Source organism: Homo sapiens, chromosome 9 (genome assembly GCF_000001405.40).
Source record: "Homo sapiens chromosome 9, GRCh38.p14 Primary Assembly".
In the NCBI taxonomy this organism is placed as follows: domain Eukaryota; kingdom Metazoa; phylum Chordata; class Mammalia; order Primates; family Hominidae; genus Homo; species Homo sapiens.
In genome coordinates this window covers 116,966,447-116,986,606 of record NC_000009.12, presented here as the reverse complement: position 1 = coordinate 116,986,606, position 20,160 = coordinate 116,966,447, and the positions used below count along the sequence as shown (strand labels likewise).

The window sequence follows — 20,160 nt, the reverse complement described above, 5'->3', positions numbered from 1 at the left end:
ACACTGCCTGGCAGGTAGTTATCCCTCTGGGTTTTCTCTTATTGTTACCCTCCCTTTTCACTGGTGAGCCCCCATCCTGGGCAGAGCTCAGCAATCCTCTTTCAGGCTCCTATACCTCCTGCACACTCCTCTTCTAGCCTGAATCACACCTTGTGCAGTGATGTATTTTCCTCCAAGTCTTCCTACGCTAATGCCAGCTGCTTGAAGGTAGAAAAAATAGGATGGATTCATCTCTCTGCCTCCATCTCCCCTGTGCCAGGTATAGAGGAATTATCCAGAGAAGGGTAGCTGGTCTGCAGCAGTAAGATCTGGACCAGAGATGAATCCGGTCGGGAGGAGAAAAGGAGGAACTAACACAGCAGGAAGCCTGGAAGGGCAGCTGCAGCCCAGAGGGGCAAGGACACCAAATCAAGGAGGAAACGTGACTGCAGGGGGGTGGGGGGGGGCAGCCTGGACAACAGCACAGCAAGGACAGCAGTGCTGGCAGCAATCACGATAACGACACTGCAACATACCAAGTGCTGCCTACACGTCTGGCGATGCAGTAACTGTTTTTAATATATTGTCTGCAATCCTTGTGACAATTTTAAAAATTGGGTTTAAGATGCCCGTTTTCTGATGAGGCCCAGAGGTGCAGTGATTGATGCAGGCCACAGAGGATTCAGCCTCCAATGGCCTTGGTTGCCAGGCTGACACCTTTCCCCTTACCAGGCTGTGTCCCTCTGCTCTCCATGCCTTCCTGGTGCATCTGAGAAGCTTAGAGGTTGCAGGGCTCTGGCGTGCAGTGAGGGTGAGGAGAAGCCAGCCTCTCACCGGCAGGCTCAGCTCTGTGCATCCATGTTAAGCGTCCTGTGTTCATCAGCTGAAGCCAGATCCTTCTGGATTGTTGGAAATACATGCTCTGTGTCCATTCCAGGCTGTTAGTGAGATTTCTTCACCCCACTCCATACTTAATCAGCCATGATTTTGCGGGAAGCTCTTTGCCACATGCTTTTCTCCTAGACACTAATAATATATAATCATGTCTGTGGTGCACTCAGAGGTGGAAGAGGCTAGAAAGAAAGGGAATAGGGCCAGTGGAAAGGGTTACCCTGGCTGAGAACCTGGAGCAGGGGCCCTGATGGGGCCTGGCTGGCAGCCTCTCAGCAGCCTGACCACCCCGTATGGACTGTCCACATGAGCTGAGCCAACAATAATTAGCCCCCATGTAGCGTTGATTAAGGAATCTAATCTCTTATCAGACCTGATCACCAGCCTGTGCCACCAGAACCTTTCAGCCTCTGATTATTTTTACTTTGTGCTCTCAGAGGCGTGCTGATGAATAACAATAAGGGGCCGGCAGCTACAATGCGGAGTCCACATTTGTCTCAGTGCTTTGGGAAGAACAAGGTTGGAAAGTCTCACACCAGCAGTATAAGGAAGAAAGGGATATCAGAGACACCCATGTGAAGTTGCTCAGATGTCAAGACCAGCCTCCTCACTGTACAGATAGAGAAACTGAGCCCCAGAGAGGGAGGGAACTACCTCAGGTCACACAATACATTTGGCTGAGTAGACTTATAAAGAATCTTCCTCATTTCATAAAGCTTCTAATTATATCCTCTTGTTATTTCACGCGAATCATGTTTCTTTGCCTACCAACCCTCTGTTCCCCCAAGCCCCCAAACTTATCCTGCTTCCTGAATTACAAGAGAGATGCTGATTTCAAGAAACCAGACCAGAATATATTAGAGGAAGAATCAAGGGCTGGAATTTTAACAAGATTTGGAAAAGTGGGAGATCCAAGTACTACCCACTCATTTTACAGATGGGAAGGCTGAGGTCCAGAAAGGTAGAATGATTTGCAGAGGATTCAGGGCTGTAAAATGTATCCCCTGATGACATTACTTATACTCAACAGTGCCCAAATTATCTCATTCTTTTACAAAATAATTGTTTGCCACTTAATTTTCCCTTTTCTCCTCTCCCTCTTACTTTAGTCTCTCCTTCATTGACTTTGTCTCTCTCCAGGGCTCAGGCTTTGCTTGAGTGGGATCTCTGAGTGGGACCCCTGGGTAGAACCAAGGCAGACCTGCTGAAAGAAGCTTCAAAGGGTCTGAACGTTGGTCTCAAGTGACCCTGCTCTTACCAATAGACTCAGAAAAAATTGGAGCATAAAAGTCACAGGGAGGCAGAGTTATTGATAAGGTTGGAAAAATTGGCTGGGCCAGTAATGAAAGGCTTTGACTGGGATATGTGACTTCTACCCTGAAGGCAACTGAAAACCACTGAGAGTTTTTGGGGAGGGCCATGGGTGCAGCTGTTCTTTGAAAAGATAACTGGCCAACAGTCAGATCAGATGTAGGGACACAGAAAATAGGTTCATAGCACATGGACAATGCTGAGGGCCTGAACCAGGCCAGTGGCAGAGAAGAGAGATGGGAATAAATGGGTCTGGATAAAACCAAAGCGGTAGAATCAGTGGGATTCAGATATCACTCAGATGCTGAGAGTACAAAATAGGGCCCCATTAGAAGTTTTTCTGAAGTTTCCAATTAGGAAAGAAACTGGTACCATTACTTATAGAGATGTAGACATCTAGGTTTAAAGTACATCAGAAACTTTTGCCAAAATAACGCTGCATATCAATCACATTTTATTGTCCACAACTATAAGTAAGCATCTTTTTCTCCTTTGTCACACATCTGGGTGGACTGATCTAGCCAGGACTCAGCTGCCCTTGGCTCTAAGCTGAGGATGAATCCAGATCTATTCCACACATCTCTCATCCTTCATGGACCAGCCACAGCCTGTAGATGTTTTTTCTAATGGCAAGAGGCAGGAGTACAAGAGGGAAAGCCTATCCACATAAATATATTTCCAACTTTGATTATTTAAGTCCTGGCTCTCATCATCCCATTGATCAAAGCAAGTCATATGCCAAGCCTGAAGACAAAGGGAAGGAAAGAAAATTTACTCTTCCCACAATTAACCACTGCAAAGAAGCGAATGCATAATTAAGTACTACAGAGAAATGACCCTCAGTGTCTCACACATGATCATTGTCAAAGGCAGCTGTCCTTGTTATTGTCCTTGTGGTTATGTTTATTGTTGTGATGTTTGTGGTGGTGTAAGCAAGCATGAGCTTTGGAGACCTGGCCCTATGACCTAGGGCAACTGACTAGTCGAGTGTTAGCTTCAGTTTCCTTATTTTACAAGGAGGGCATCAGTACCTTCCTCCTTGTACTAGTCATGGCTGTGACATGCAATGACACATGTCAAATGTCACATACCACTTTTAGCACAAAGCAGGCTCTCATAATGTTATGCCCAACCCATACTTTTCCCACTACGTGCCTGGCCCTGAGTTGAGTTACAGAGCTACAGAGGTGAAGAGTCCCAAGGTGGCTCACTTGGAGTCAACATGGGGAAGGGATCCATGTTTATTGCTCTGAGGGCCCAGAGAGATGTCTTTTCAAACCACAGTGACAAGAAGAGCAAATAAGAAAGTGAACAGCAGGCAGCATCCCTGGCCGGTGATGATAAGTGATGACTGAGTTAGAAGCAAGTGAAAATGGAATCATAGAATGACAGGGTTTGGGGAGGGGAGTCAGACAGCCAGGATGGCTTATGAAGGAGGCTTTGCACTCTCATGGGCAAGCCATGAGCTCCTCTGTGCTGCTGGGGTGGAGGAGGCAGCGGCCTCTGGCTTATGCCTTGTCCGTGCCCATACCTCCTTCAGCAGGGGCTGCCATGGACACAGGCAACATGTCTTCGTAGCTCTGGAAACACAGGAACAGCTTCGGGGATTATCTCATTCAAACTGCTGGAATTTGAACAAGATCTCAGCCTCTGCAACATAGTTAGGTCTCATTTCACCAAAAAAAATTAAAAATTAGCTGGGAATGATGGCACGTGCCTATAGTCCTAGCTACTTGGGAGGCTGGGGCAAGAGGATCTCTTGAGCCCAAAAGCTCAAGGCTGCGGTGAGCCATGATTGCACCACTGAACTCCAGCTTGGGCAACAGAGCAACACCCTGTCTCTAAAAAAATAATAATGATAATTTAAAAAAAAAATCCCAAATTACAGATAAAGAAACTGTGGTCTTTTGGGTTTTGCAAAGGGCACATCTTGGATTTTTGACCATCTTTCATTCTAAGCACCTTTCCTTTCTGCTAAAACAACATACTGGATGGGCCTTTCCTACCCAAGAACAATAATTATATGAACCCAAACAGCTGTTTTGTGTTCTCAGCAAGAAGAAATGTGCCAAAGACTGTGCTGAGGATTTTTCAAGTACAGCACTTGATCCTTCCCACAGGCATATGGTGTCAGCTCCATTATAGGTAAAGGAAACAGGCTCAGGGAGAGAAGAATCAATTTATCAGGTTCTTGCAAATTTGAAGTGGCAGGCAGATCCAGGATTTGAATGCAGTACATGATGATTTCAAGGCCCACCCACACTCTGAACTATTTCACCAGCCTACTGGCCTTATGTGGTTGGCAAGAAAGCATTGTCCTGTTTGGAAGAGCCTCACAGGAGATGAACACAGATTGTTCATGATCAAGGTGTTTTGTTGTTTTTACCCAAGAGTTTCTGGACTGAGAATGCATATAACATAGAAAAAGACCTCAACAAATGGCAGCCAGGAGACATGAAGAGTAAATCTTTTAAAACCAACACAACTCATCTACTGCTGATAACACAGTTCTGGTAAATAGCCAGATAGAAAACCATCCAATTGAATTCCCTTATGAGAACCAATATAGTGAAGAGAGTAAATTCTTTTTTTTAGGTCTCCATTACTAACAACATATACATGTATGTTTTTAATGTACTTAAGGGTATTTCAAATTCATTTTACTGTTTAAATAATACCTGTTTGTCAATGCTCTCATTTTTAGAAAACTTGGTAATGTCAAAAATGTACAGAAAAATTGATGCAAAAGACTTCAGGATGCATTGAACTATTGATACCACCAATGCAGCAAAAGGACACTGAAGTGGTGGCCAAGAGCCCTGGGTTTCCATCCTGGCTGGCCCAGAGGCTAGGCCAGTGATTTGGACAAACTCCTTTACTCTCTTAGCTTGAGTTTCCTCTTCTGAATAATGAAACTGGGAAAGTTTGAACTAGCTGATCTTTAAGGGTCTTTTCTGCTCTGATGTAAAATAGAATTCTATTTTTGACATTTCATCAGCACTTGTGTTTGCACTCTTTGTTTCCTTGGCAAATACCTATCTTGGATGTAGAAAGTTTCTTCCAGTCCTCAGCAGAGTCATCATTATTCTAAATGAACTCAGCCTAAATTCATGGTAATCATGATATATGTATGAATTCACTCATTCATTCATTCATTCAATAATTGAGTTGCCTACCCTTTATCAGGCATTATACTAATTATTAGAATACAGGATGATTAAGAAAATGTTTTTGCAATCAAGAAATTCCCAGCTTAGTGGGGGAACAGGCAAGTAAAAAATTATTGTCCTATTCCATTGGCATAGGCATCACTATTGTGAAATATATCCCTTCATCTATTTAGCATTTATTTACTGAATCCCTACTCTGTACCAGGCAATGCAGGAGGTGCTGAGATGCAGTGGTGAGCAAGGAAGGTACTAGAGTTATAGGGATAGGGAGTTCCCTATCCCTATACAGGAGTTCACAGTCAGCATGGTTACATGCATCCCTAGAGAGCTGTCATTTGATGGCCTTGCTGCTCTGGGTGTGCAGAAGCAGAGTTGAAGAAAGGAGTCACCCAGGGAAGAGGTTAATTACCCTCAGCTCTGGCTGTCAGAGGCTTTTCATCTGTCAAGAAGGAAATGCCTGGTTGCAAATAGTGGAGATTTAGCTGAGCCAGCAAAATAGGAAACAGGAGTCAATAAAGCCAATACCTATGGCATTGATGGAGATCTTGCTAGAGACACCCAGGCTGCTGCTAAGAATGATTGCAGCTGAAACTAAAACAAACAGTATCCAGAAAGCAGAGGTTAGGGATTTGGAAAGGCAATGCAAACAGCAGAGTCTTGGTGCTCAGAAGTGATGAGTGATCTACTCCAACCTTCCATTTTACAGAAGGAGAAACTAAGGCCCCAAAAGGAGGTAATTTGTGTCTCTACATGTCTAATATGTAAGGAGTTAGGGGTGATAGTTTTGTCTAAATGTAAACATATACCAGAACCCAGTGGCCAGCTTGGAATTAAAGGGAAGGAAACACTTTTCTTTTTTTTTTTTAATTCAACTTTTATTTATATAGGGGGTACATTTGCAGGTTTGTTACATGGATATATTGCACCCATGTAGTGTGCATAGTTTCTGGGTAGTATGACCATCAGCTAATTGTCACCTCAACCACTAGCTTCATTCTTCACTATTTCAATTACTTCTTACATCAGCTCTAGGAGATGGACATTGCTATCATCCCTATTCTGTAAATGAAAGCTGAAACCAAAAAGGCGACTTCCCTAAGGCCACACAACTAGGGAGAGAACAAGAGGATGGGACCGGGTCCATCTGCTGCTAGCACTCGGGGGCTTTTCCCTCTGCCTACTTTCCGTTCTCCAGGAAGCCTCATGGGGGTCTCCAGGGTGAATGCCTCTTAATTGCAAAATATATATTTGTTGTATAATGAGCATCAGTAATTAATGATCCATTCTGAGTCAGGGAAAACTTGCCTGGTAAGTGCACAAGGAGGAGAGAAAAACATAGCAGCACCCTTTTTCTGAATAAATTTCTCAATGTCACCAATATTTCCAAAAATGAGAGAAAGAGGAAAGAAGTGAACTGTGGTATTTCCTGCAGAGTCACTGCAGGAGAGATAGGGACCTCAGCCTTTGCCCTTTCCATAAACAAGAGGGATCCTCCTTGTTGGCCCCTCCTCATCCACCCCAGCCTGACTTCCTGCTCCTTTGCCAGAGGTAACCATTTTACCTCTCCCATTATGAATCATGAGGCCTGTGGCTTGTAGCAGATCATAAATCAGTCCTGGGAGTCTGGAGGACAAATCCCAGGACTTTTAATCTTTAATATTAGACGTGTTTAAAGTGGTGAATATTTCATGAAGGGACTGTTGCATTTTAACACTTCTTTAGTGACTCCTGCCCCTCCTCGCTTTGGTAAATTATTTACATCCACATTCAAGGCTCTTAGCCTTTTCCTTCCATTCCTCTTACCTCTGGCAACAATCAGTTCATTAGGTAGCACTACTTACAGCACTTCCTCTTGGTGGAAGACCCCAGGCATGATGTTGCAGGGAAGGAGTACAGAGAGCATTCCTACCTGTGAGCAAGCCCTCCTTATTTTTCAGGTAAGCAGATGAGAGGAAAAGGACATGTCTTCTGTCTCTCCTTGTATCTTTCAACAACCTCATTCTGAATATTTTGAATACTATCTCTGACCCATTCTTCACTCCATACTCTGTCTTACTACCATTTTTGTTCAGGCAGCGTTCATGAAGCCCAGGCTATTTGTCAATGGGTGCTGGGAATACAAAGATTAAGCAGCAGTGTCATCTATAAAACAAGTTACAGTGTTTTTAAACACTCAGAATGCTTCATATAAGGTCAAATATATAACACTTACAGTTCATCAGAGATAACAATAAGTTTACTTGATGAATGCATACATTTCAAAATCCAGAATTAAGGGTGATAGTTGTAGAACCCGTGTTACCCTAGTATTCTATTTACTACAATATTTTGTTTTAGTTGTATAAAGTTGAGAAAATCCTGATTCCCAAAATATGTAGTTGCAAATAGCATGAGGTTGTTGGCATCTTGACTCATCCTCAGTATCTTTTTAGATGAAACAAAGATGAGAGGAGATTTTTTTTTTCCCTGAAGCCTGCATAAAATAAGTTTATCTGGCAACTGATACTTTCTTCAGTATCCTAAATTCTGGCATGTGATATCTGAGTGTTTATTCTTGTTTTTATATTTTTAACAATTTAAAAAATAAAACTTTTAAGAAAAATTAAAATATAAAATTTGCATAGTCCCTAAATCTCTGTTAAGTAATACATTTCCATGGACATGATTTGAAAACTTTTGGGTCCTGTCTATCAGAATCACTGTAGGATCCAAGGGTGACAGGTTTATCTCTCTGTGTGTGTGTGTGTGTGTGTGTGTGTGCGTGAGAGAGAGAGAGAGAGAGAGATACATACAGAGAGAGATACAGAGAGAGATAATGAGATAATGTGATTACAAGAAGATGAGAAAGAAGACAAGCCAACATCATTAGCCTGGAAATTTACCAGAGCAATAACAGATAGTTAATTATTCATTCAACTCACATTGTTAAGCACTGACCCTATTCTAGGCAGTAAGCAAAGTCAGGGCGGTTCCTACTAGCATTTCCCTAGAGGTGTTCCATAGAATTATAATCCTGTGAGTCATTCCACCAACAAGGCTCCCAAAGAAAAATAAGTTGGTGAAAATTGTGTATGTATCACCCTCATGGAGAATCACACTACACTGGCTTTGAGGAATGGGGTGGTATTACCCAAACACATTTTTAAATAGAATCTGTTTTTGGTACAGCATCTTTAAGCATCTCACAAATAAACCTTGGAGAAAAAAGCAGTAACTCATTAAATCAAAAAATATTTCTAGGCCAGGCGTGGTGGCTCACACGTGTAATCCCGGCACTTTGGGAGGCTGAGGTGGGCAGATCACTTGGGTTCAGGAGTTTGAGACCAGCCTGGTCAATATAACAAAACCCCATCTCTATCAAAAATACAAAAATTACCTGGGCATGGTGGTGCATGCCTGTAATCCCAGCTACTCGGGAGGCTGAGACGGGAGAATCACTTGAAGCTGGGAGGTGGAGGTTGCAGTGAGCCGAGATCACGTCACTGCACTCCAGTCTGGGTGATGGAGTGAGACTCTCAGTCTCAAAAAAAAAAAAAAAAAGAAAAAGAAATTCTATACCTTAAGTATACAGTAGAGCAGATATGACAACAGCTGGGAGTAGGACAGAGAGATTCTGAAATCACTTCTAGGATTCTGGACTCTGAAGATATGCTAGGAAATTGGACATATGCTGGCCACTTGAAATGAACTTGGCCAATGAGAGAATATACTTAAGGCAGTGTGTAATGCTAGCAAGCATTCATGCAACCAAGCGTAAGGCATGGCCAGAAAAAAAAATAATGGATGGTTGGATGGATGGATTGATTCATGAATGAATGGATGGAAGGGAAAGAAATGAAAAAGAATGGCAAGAGAGAGGGAGAGGAGAAAAGAGGACAAGAGAAGAGATGGCAGTAGAAGGAAGGGGAGGAGAGGAAAAATAATTTAAAAATGAAAAGCAACACAAAATAAAACCAGGAGACTACAGACAGGTTTTTCTGAAAGGGGAAATCAAAGGTTTCTTGGAGATAGCGGCATTTAACTTGGGATTTATGGATGGTGAAGACCTATTCATTCAGATGGAGATAATTCAATTTTCTGATTATACCTCTAGAGTAAATGCATTTTATCATAATTTTAATATTTGAAAAGAAGACCTCCATTTGTAGCCACCTGATCACTTCCTGTTTCCCTGTCTTAAGTTGTGAGCTCCTTTAGCGGCTGGGTTGCAACTTTGACCTCTGTATCTCCAGTGCTGAGCTGAGCACCTGTACGAGTGTGGCCAGGATTTGTTGAAGGAATAAATGAGTGAATGAACAAAGGAATAAACTCTGTTAACCACAGTGGTTGATGGACAAGATTACCCTCTTTCCATGTGCCTTTTCTAAAACTAAGCAGCTCACTTTATGTCTTAGGAAAACAAGCAAACCAGAGAAAAGCCTATTTGGGGAGACTCTACTTAACAATAATCTTTTTTCTTTTCACTTACAGGAGAGTGCAGCTGTCATGAAGGCTATGCCCCTGACCCTGTTCACAGACACCTGTGTGTGCGCAGTGACTGGGGACAGAGTGAAGGGTGAGTGGCAAAGGGCATCAGGTCCAGGACAGTGCAGGACCCACTTTTACCTCCTCTGTTCTGTTACCAGAGGCCCCAAGCATCTCCACAAAGAGGACTCTTTCTCTGCAACAGTAGTGTTCCTGCAAAACCCAATGGGAAGTGAATCCTACTTTCCCATGGAATCACATTTTAGTATTAAAGGTACATGATTGGTGAATATTCTAGAGAACAAAGGCTGACATTTAAGTCACCTGTCCAAACAAAGTAATCAATGAACACTTTCTTAAGTGGACTGCCAAAGAAAAGAAGAACATTTTTAAACAGACTCCTGAATGGACATGCATACTTTATGAAAGTGCTGAATCCTTCTGTAAATTGGAGACATTCTTTTATAATATAAGTAGTCTTGCCCAATAATTATTTCTGCAGAGTTTGGTTGTTTGTAAAGCTACTCTAGAGCAGTGTCCACATGTGAATTCTACCTGCCTCTGACTAATGTCATCTTCTCTCCCCTCTCCTTCTTCCCATAGACCTTGGCCCTACACGACACTTGAGAGGGGCTATGATCTGGTGACAGGGGAGCAAGCCCCTGAAAAGATTCTCAGGTGAGTTGGCTTTCTTGTTGGGGCATAATTCTGGGAAATGGAGAAAGGACTGATAGGAAGATGTGGTCATGGATCCTTAGACTATTGAGCCTGTGCACTTCTGAGCTGCACTGAGTACAAAAGAACTCTCCCTGGCACTAATGTACCATCATGGCGCAGGTTGCTATGGGAATCTAATTCCCATTTGTCTGGCAGCTAGACTTATAGACTCAGATACTTGAACTGGAGGAGACATTACTGATTATTAAGTCCAGTGGTTTAAAAATACTCTGTAACCATAGAACCTCTTCCCACCACCTCCACAAAATCTTGTGTAAAACTTCAATGAACATGTAGATAAAGACATACAGCAAATTAAGTGGCAGAACTGGGAATCAAATTTTAGTTCAAACTGATTCAAAGTCCGTGCTCTTAACCTTTGTGCCAGACTGTCCCTGCTGACATAGCAGTCGCTTATGGAACTCCTGCTGTATGTCAGGACTGCTGGAAAATCAGAGCGGCAATGGTCCCTATCCTCACAGAGTCCACTAGTAAATCAGGAAAAGGAACTTAGCAACACAAAGCAATTCATGAGCTAAATGTTTAACAGATTTGAGAAATGATCATCCAGGTCTGGAGAAAGTTGGCCAACATTGTTCCTTAAATAATGCTGGGGATATGGATGGAGAAGTAGGAAATTGCCCTAGAAGGGATGGGAACAGGGGCCCCTTTTTTCTGTTTGCTCTCTGCTTCCCAGGGAGTTCCCCAATGGAAACTCTTACATTGCAGGTCTACTTTCAGCTTGGGCCAAGGCCTCTGGCTTCCTGTCAGCAAAAGCTTTGTGGTTCCGCCTGTGGAGCTGTCCATCAACCCCCTGGCCAGCTGCAAGACCGATGTGCTCGTCACGGAAGACCCTGCAGATGTCAGGTAGGGAATCATCTCCAGTACTCTGCATAGGTACTTCTTAAAACCTTGGAAGTCCCCCTGTTGGAGAACCACAGGAACCCCTAAGGAGTGTTCTTGCTGTTTAGTTGATGTGAAGAACACTGTCAAATATGCCATGCTCCTAAACTCTTAGATGTGACCTCCATCACTGTGTCTCAATGCCTTACGTTTCAACACTATTGCTTTCCTTTTTGGTTATATTAAATATAAAAGAGGCTGATGCATTATCTAGCTCATCATGGGATCATTAATGATCTTATCTTTACTTAACAGTATGTTGGAGAGTCACAAAGGCAAAAATTTAGAAAATGGGATGTTTTCTGTTGTAGTCCATGGGATGTGCTTTGGGCTAATTTATGAATTTTAAATGTCCAGGCTAAAGACCAGGCGTGGTGGCTCACGCCTGTAATCCCAGCACTTTGGGAGGCCAAGGCAGGTGGTTCACCTGAGGTCAGGAGTTCGAGACCAGCCTGGCCAACATGGTGAAACTTGGTCTGTACTAAAAATACAAAAATTAGCCTGATGTGATGGTGCACGCCTATAATCCCAGCTACTTGGGAGGATGAGGCTGGAGAATCTCTTCAACCCAGGAGGCGGAAGTTGCAGTGAGCTGAGATCGAGCCACTGCACTCCAGCCTGGGGAACAGAGTGAGACTCCATCTCAAAAAAAAAAAAAAAAAAAAGTCCAGGCTAAATCTTTTGTTCTTAACTTATAAAACCACGGAGACTACATTTCACTTTACATTATCCTGCAGCTTGTAGCTAACTTCATTATAGACTTACTCTACTTCATACTAATTAGATGCTTACATATCATTCTGCCCCATTATGGTGCACTTCTCAAGGTCAAGGAAAATAACTTATTTAGCTTTTTAATCCCCAGCTCCTAGTACATATTGGACATCTATTAAATGTTTATTGATTTAATTAAGTCTGTGGTCTTAGATCTGATCTTAGCACTGTTCTGGAGCTTTCCAGTGGAGGATTTATTTCTCCCAATTTGATTAGGGGAAGCATTCTAGAAATTCTGATGTTACCAAGAATAGAGTAGTTTTACTTCTAAAACTGATTTGTACACAGCTTATTGGCTCATGAACTAGAATTAAATCATGGACCCCCTAACTACCAGTGACTGTTTTTCAACAGCTCCATAGTTGCCTTTGGGTCATTCTAAATCACAATGCTATCAGTATTTCTATGGCATCTTGACAGAAAGCTCCTAGAACCCAACTCTCTTACTTTAAGATGTTTTTACTCTCACCTTGTCAGCTTTCACTGGGAGGGATGAACTTATCATGCTTTTCTAGGCTATTAGCATTTCCCAAAAGAGGATGTTTTAAAAAGAATAGATTTATAAAGAGATGGCACTTAGGATATGAAATAGTGATTACTAGGAACTAAAATAGCTTCACACACACATTCACATACTGATTCATCGATATTTACCATTGTTTTCATTTTTGATAGAATTGAAGTATACGAGATTTTAGTAAAGCATGTGCTAAGTTCTCTCTGCATTATATATTTTAAAGATAAAGCAAGGACCATCTGGTTTAAAAGACTATTCTCAAAAAGACACAGTTACCTCGTTTGAAATCAGCTGAAAAGAAAGTCTTGACTAGCTTTCCTCATAGTTCTGTCCTGTTGACATTGCATCCATGATTTCAATGAAGATTCAGATGATGCAGCTCTCTCAGACTGGCTGATGGTAACACATACTCTGGAGTTGGATAGGGCTGCTTTAGAATTCCATCTCTACCAAGTGTGAACTGTGTGATCATGGTGGCCAAGTTTAATTCTCTACGTTTTCATTTATTTGTCTGCAAAATGGGGATAATAACAGTGCCTTCCTCACAGAGGGTAATAATAATAATAATAATAATAGTTCATATCATCGATCATTTTCTAAGTAAGTGCCGAATACTTCACTAATATTATTACATTCTTACATCAGCTCCATGAGGTGATGCTCATTTTTCAGATTCAAAAATAAATAAACAAACCTGAGGCATAGAGGTAATGCCTTCACTAGTAAGAGATGAAGCCACATTTCAATCCCTGATCTGCAATAGGGGATAAAAGATTGCAATCATCACCATTTGAGAGAATCTGCACTATGTAGATTGAGTTTTCCAAGCTGCACTAATAAACCTTGTTTGACATGACATTGCCCAGGCAAGCATATCATGGGCATTTAGAGAATTAATAAGTTCCAGTCAGATGGTATGTTGGAAATTTAATAAATAATAGATCATAATTATAGATAGCCAATAATACTGCCCTGGAATCACAACAAAGAGATTAGAGGAAAGACTACGTGGAAAAGCAGAGTCAAAGGGAAACGGAAGGTAAGCATTACAGTAGGATTGGAAAGGAAAACTTGAACGTGCACTGCAAGTTGATTCTTTGATTTCTAATCTGTGATAAATTCTTGGACAAGTATGAGAACTCACACTACAGTAGGCAGAACAACTTAGTAGTTAAATGTACAGGCTGTGACTTACCAAGGCAGCTAAATTTAAAACAACTAATGATAACAAATGTTAGGAAGGATATGGAACAACTGTGGCTTTCATATTTTTATAGTGAGAATATAAATAAGTATGACCACTATGTAAACCTGTGGAGTGTTATGTACTAAAGTTGGAGGTATATATCTTCTATAGCTCATCAGTTTCACCCATAAGGATATGTATAACAGAAATATGTAAATGTGTGCCACAAGTAGGACTTACAAAAATACGAATAGAAGCACTCATTTGTACTGCTAGAAAGCTAGAAAAAAAAATACAAATACCCATCAGCGAAAAAGTAGATAAATAAATTATGGAATAATAACACAATGGAATGCCATTAATAATGAATATGAAAGAACACAGTAACCATACATAGCACCTTGGATGAATCTAACAAATATGATATAGAATTTTGGAAACCAGACACAAAATAATATCATATGTTTATATAAAAACAAAAAAAACTAGTTTCATTAATGAGTAAACTAATTTATGATGTTAGAAGAAAGGATAGAGATTACTTCTGGGTGATGGAAAGGGTGGTGACATGGGGAACTACAAGTGGGCTTATGTGATGCTGATAATGTTTGATTTATTGTTATGGGTGGTGGTTACATGAGTGTTTTAACTCTGTGAAAATTCACTGAGCTTCACACTTTTCTCTATGTATTCTATATTTTGATTAAACATAAAGTTTATTGTCTGAGGGCATAGGCTATGGACCTCAAGCAAATTGGCTGAGTGCAAATCTTAACTCCATCACTTGCTTGCTGCAGGAGTTTTTCTGGAGTTGTGGTTTCCCCTTCAGAATAATGGAAATAAAAATCTCATATCATATATGGAGTGATGAAGATTAAGTGACATATTACATGTAAAGCAGTGAGTTTGCTACCTGGTGAACTCTTTAGAAGCATTAGTTATCATGCTCATTATTGTAACATAGTGGCTTTTGTTCTCTTTATCTTTTCATTATTTTCTCATGTTTTCGCTGAAAGGCTAAAGACGACCTATGGTGCAACTGAAAATCGATAGTTGCTCAGTGTTGAGGATTCATATTAACCACTTTGTCATGGGCTTTGAGGAAGACTTAAATGAGTCTATAAATTCTAGTTCAGTATGCTAGGTCTGTGGCTTTATGTACATGGACATGGTTACAGAATGAATGAAGAGTCACATGTGTGGTAAACATAGAGTGCCCTAGGGGACTGGAAAGGATTGGAAAAGAAAGAAGATGTATCCGACTGAGGGAATTAAGCAAATATTTTCAAGAGAGAGAACATTGCCAATTTTTCAAAAACTGTAGCTAAGCTTTGACTTTGTGCAATCTAAGGTGAGGGGTAAGGCTTTCAAGTGTGAGGGGTTGAAGGGCAAAATAAAACTCTCCCCTGGACAGCTCCCATTCTCCAGCCTATCCTAGCAGGAAGCTGCTGGGAATGAGATTTTAGCATTTGAGACACTAACGATGCCAGCTACAAAGGTGGAAGAGCAAATCTCTAGCTGAATTGCATACAGATATATTTTAATTCTGAAAAATCTTAGCTGGATCCCTCCTGTGTACCAGATACTATGCCATATACCACAGGAATACAGAGATAAATACAGCCCACCTCTGCTTTCAGGAGTTTCATGGTATAGCAAGGAGCATGAAACAAGAGACCAACTTGAGAGATGGAATAAAAGATGCTTGTGGAGGGAGAAGCATGGCAAACAACACTTATTACTGCATACTGGGCCTTCTTCACAATTTCACCTGGAGCAGGTTCTTATAAGATAAATGTGAGAATAGCTATTATAGTTGGAATAATAATCACCCACAAAGCTCAGCTTTTGGAGCGCCTCAGTCATTTTTCTGTGATCTCAAATCAACGAAAATGAAATGGTGAAATACTGTTAATTCCTGAACAACGCTGAAAGAATAATGGGATATCAGAGTGCAAGCTGGCATGGCTCACTTGGTGATAGTTTTCACATTGAGTTAGTTCTGAATAGAATTAGGAATGTCTCCTTGTTCTTTTGGCCTTTCAATTCCAAGTACTGAGAATTTACTGAACACCTACCATATTTTAAACTAAGTAATAGAGATATAAAAATAAGACAAAGATTTCAGTGCTTTAAATGAGTCAAAATTGCAAACAAAAAATGTCATACTTTTTGACAGTTGAAGAAGAATAGAGGGAAAGTTCAAGGCAGAAAAAAGACACAAAGTCAGAGGTGGTCAAACCCACCTGGAGGTTAAAAGAAAGGACTCAAAACTTCTATGCCAAATTTTGAAGTGTTAGCAGGAAGTCACTAGCTCACTGGTTTTCAAAGTGTATTCCCTGGACCAGTAGCATTCGCATGACCTAGAAACTTATTAGAAATGTAAATTCTCATATCTAGTGTAGACTGATAATGATCCCCAAAGGTATCATCAGATCTTAACTCCTAGAACCTATAAATATTATGTTATTTGGAAAAGGGGTCTTTGCAGATGTTATGCCGCATCTTGTCATAGGTTGATTATTCTGAATTATCTGGACAGGTCTGAAACACCATAATGAGTACCCTTATAAGAAAGAAGCACAGTGAGATTTGACATGCACAGTGGAGACATAATTTGAAGATGGAATTAGAGACTGGAGTGAGGCAATCACAAGCCACAGAATGCCAGCTGCCGCCAGAAGCTGAAAGAGGCAAAGAAAAGATTGTTCCCCAGAGGCTCCAGAGGGAGGACCACCTTGCTGACACCTTGATTTTGGCCCAGGGATACCGATTTCAGATTTCTGGTTGTTTGAAGCTGCCCCAGTTTGTGGTGATTTGTTGCAGCAGCCACAGAAACTATGTAATAATATACCTACTAAATTAGGTATTTTGGAGGTGGGCCCAGAATTCTGGTTTAAGAAGTCCTCAGGTGATTCTAATGCTCACTAAAGTTTGAGTACAAATGCACTAGGTAGCAAAACAAGGAATGGATCACCTACTTAGTCTTAAGTAGAAAACAAAAGATATCAGGGCTTGAAAACTCCAGAGTGCCAATGGCTTTTGGCATAGTAAGGTTTATATGCTCCCAAATGTTGGGACTCACTATTCCTGTTTCTTTTCGTCCCTCATCTCTGTGTTTCTCTGGTGCACTCTGTTTTTCTGTTTTTCTTTTTCAGGCACACTCTCACTGACCTCTCCAGGCTTACAACCACAATTAAGTGTTGCCAGAGTAATGAGATGCCCCCTTTCCCAATGGTTTATGCAGAAGTCCTGTCACTGAGGAACAGCAATAATCACACATCCTTAGGTGGCACTGTTCCAAGTGCTTTACTGAAATAAGTTCATTTAGTCTTTACTCATTATTAGCTCCATTTAATGCATGAGGAAACTGAGGCACAAAGAGGATTATGTACCTTGCCCAAGATCACACAGCCAGTAAGTAATAGAACCAGGTTTGGAATCTGAGAGTCTGACTCTTGAGTTCATGTTCCTCATCTCTAAGCTATGGTGCCTCTCTTTGGCCTATTTTGGGATCTTTGCCAATATCCCACATCAATCTCTCAAGAGACAAAGTGTTCTAAGTAGGCAGACCTGGGTCACCAACTTACCCTTGAAACCAGGGTTGAATGAGGAGCACCTTAACCCCTGGATTGAGATCACAGGTAGGATAGTTCCCCAGTGAAAAAGCAGGACAGGTAGCAAATAGATGTTGGATAAGAAAAACCCAGAGATGTTTTATTCATGGGCAAGGCACAGGACCTTGAACTGGCAAAGTGTGGCATGCCTAAGGAGGAACTTTTTTTTTTTTTTTTTTGAGACAGAGTCTCACTCTGTCATCCAGGCTGGAGTGCAGTGGTGCCATCTCAGCTCACTGCAACCTCCACCTCCCAAGCTCGAGCTATTCTCCTGCCTCACCCTCCACAGTAGCTGAGATTACAGGCACACAACACCACACCTGGCTAATTGTTGTAATTTTAGTAGAGACGGGGTTTCACCATCTTGGCCAGGCTGGTTTCGAACTCCTGACCTCAAGTGATCTGCCCACCTCGGCCTTCCAAAGTGTTGGGATTCCAGTTGTGAGCCACCACACCCAGCCAGGAGGAACTTCCATGTCAGTTTGGCTGCAGTGTAGTGCCAAGGGATGCATGGCAGTTGATGAAGGGAGAGAAGGACAGCAGAGAGAACATGCATGCTCTTTTCTCTCCTCTTTTCTCTCTTTTTTCAGCTGTTAACCACCTGGGCTAGCAGAGTCAGCAATGACTCTTGGAGCACTTTAGGGTAGTGTATTCATTCACTGCTCCAGGGTCCCCAACAGATGTTCCTGTGTGACTGCTCCAGATACTGGAATCTGGCTTGGGACTAGGCAGTACCCCTAGTCAGATACAGTGCATTCTGGAAACATGGGCCATACATCTTCAGGTGCAATCCTCAACAAATGCACACCAGGTACTTCACTGTGTAATGAACATTGTGCTAGGCTCTAGAAGTAGAAAAACCAGAAAGAGAAGAAGGAGTAGGAAAGAGTGTAGAATTAACTTGAGCAAAGTTTGTTCACCTCTTCGAGCCTCAATGTCAGAACCAGGAAGTTGGAGATTTGTGTGTTTTTCTCATACGGTGGTTATTAGGATAACATAATGTGTATAGGGTTACTAGTACAGCATATTACATGTAACTGATATTCAATGAATGAGAAGTTTTAGAAGCAGTAGGAATTGTAGAATTGTAGTACAGTTAAGGAAGCAACCATGTGATGCAGTGTGTCCGTGATTAAAAGATGTAGTTCATGGTTCAGAGCGGTATAAAGAAGGGATGTGTGCCTCCTTTCTCTGGATCACATTGTGCATTGATGGCAGGAGCATTGATGGCAGAAGGGAGGGTTGGGGCAGCAGGACACGTGGAGTAGGCTGGAGTCGGGGCCAGTCACTCGATGAATTGCATGGGGGCACTTGGCTTGAGAAGGATCCCGGCAGCAGAGTATGGGGGGAAGGCCCTTGATACCGGTCTTACATCATTTAATATTCAAGATATCTCTGTCCTGTTGGAGGTGAGCAAAACTGACTTCTTGCCCTTGCAGCTCTCTTACAAGCTTTCATTAATGAGTGCATGCGTGTTATGTGTGCATATGTGTGCACACATTGTAGGCAACCTAGAAGTGTGCTTTCCTTTTCAGTAGGGATGTTGATAGAAGGGTGGCTTCTTCAGGTAGACTCTCAAGTCCATCATGCTTCCTCTAAACTTTTCCTTTTCTCACCTATTACTCACACAAATGTTCCTTTCCCAAAGGGTGACAGAACTTCAATAGGGAACCCACTTACCTGCTTGAAACACAGAAGAGGTATTGGGCGAAGTGAATAGCATGGATACTGGAGCCAAACTGCTTAGTCTCAAATCCCAGCTCCACCACTGACTAGCTGACCTTGGGTAAGGTAAACTTTGTGAGCCTCAGTTTCCTATCTGAATGATAACTAACACTCTATCTTTGAATGTTTTTTTGAGAATGGAATGAGATAACACTTAAACTTTTAGCCCCATAGTCATCAATACTAATGACTAACATTTATTGATCACACTTGCTTGGTGTCAATGTCTTAAGTGCTCTACATGTTTTCATTTTGACTCCTCACAACAACTCAGTGATGTAGTTATTGTTATTTACAGATGAGGAAACTGAGGCACAAAGATGTTAAGTCATTCATGCAATGTCACATGGGTAGTATGTGGCCGAATCAGGATTTCAACTCAGGATGTTTTGTGAGTGCTCAGTAAATGTTGGCTGTTGTTGAAGAAGGGGCATTCTCTGTAAGATGGAGGAATAGGTTCATTGGACTTTATATCTTGGTCTTTGTTGAGCATTTGGTCTATTAAGTGTGTGTGTTCTTTATGCAAGTGGAAGGTGAAATATCAAATGGGGAAGGGGAAAGAGTGTGGGTAACTCACAGCTAGGTTCATGGAATATGGGCATTAGCATTTTCGTGGTACCTCCACATCCCTCCTTTTTTTTTTTTTTAAAGAAAATGAGGCCCGTCTGAGAAACATTACTATAAAAGGCCACCACACTTCCTCCCAGGTGGACGTACTCTATGCCCTCCACTCTTTCCAGCCCCACTACCTGTCATTCAGCCAGTGAGCCTGGAGACATATATATTTTTCCCCATTTTACCTTAGCAATCATAATAAAAGTGAAGTCTATTAGGATGAGTTTCTGCCCAGGCTCAGTAAATCTCTTCAAACATTGTTCAGCACCAAATTTCTGTAAGTCTTTGCCA

The 20,160-nt window shown here is 41.7% G+C and overlaps 1 protein-coding gene across 3 annotated transcripts in view; it reads left to right on the top strand.

Annotated features, from left to right (window-relative positions):
• Positions 1-20,160, top strand: part of ASTN2 (astrotactin 2) — a 991,946-nt gene that overhangs the window by 428,451 nt on the left and 543,335 nt on the right. For 2 of the 3 annotated variants that reach the window (NM_014010.5, NM_001365068.1), the window contains 3 exons: positions 9,822-9,906; positions 10,419-10,493; positions 11,262-11,399. In NM_014010.5, the coding sequence (NP_054729.3) occupies positions 9,822-9,906; positions 10,419-10,493; positions 11,262-11,399 (298 nt within the window). The remainder of the gene's footprint in view (positions 1-9,821; positions 9,907-10,418; positions 10,494-11,261; positions 11,400-20,160) is intronic. The other variant, NM_001365069.1, reaches the window with a different exon arrangement.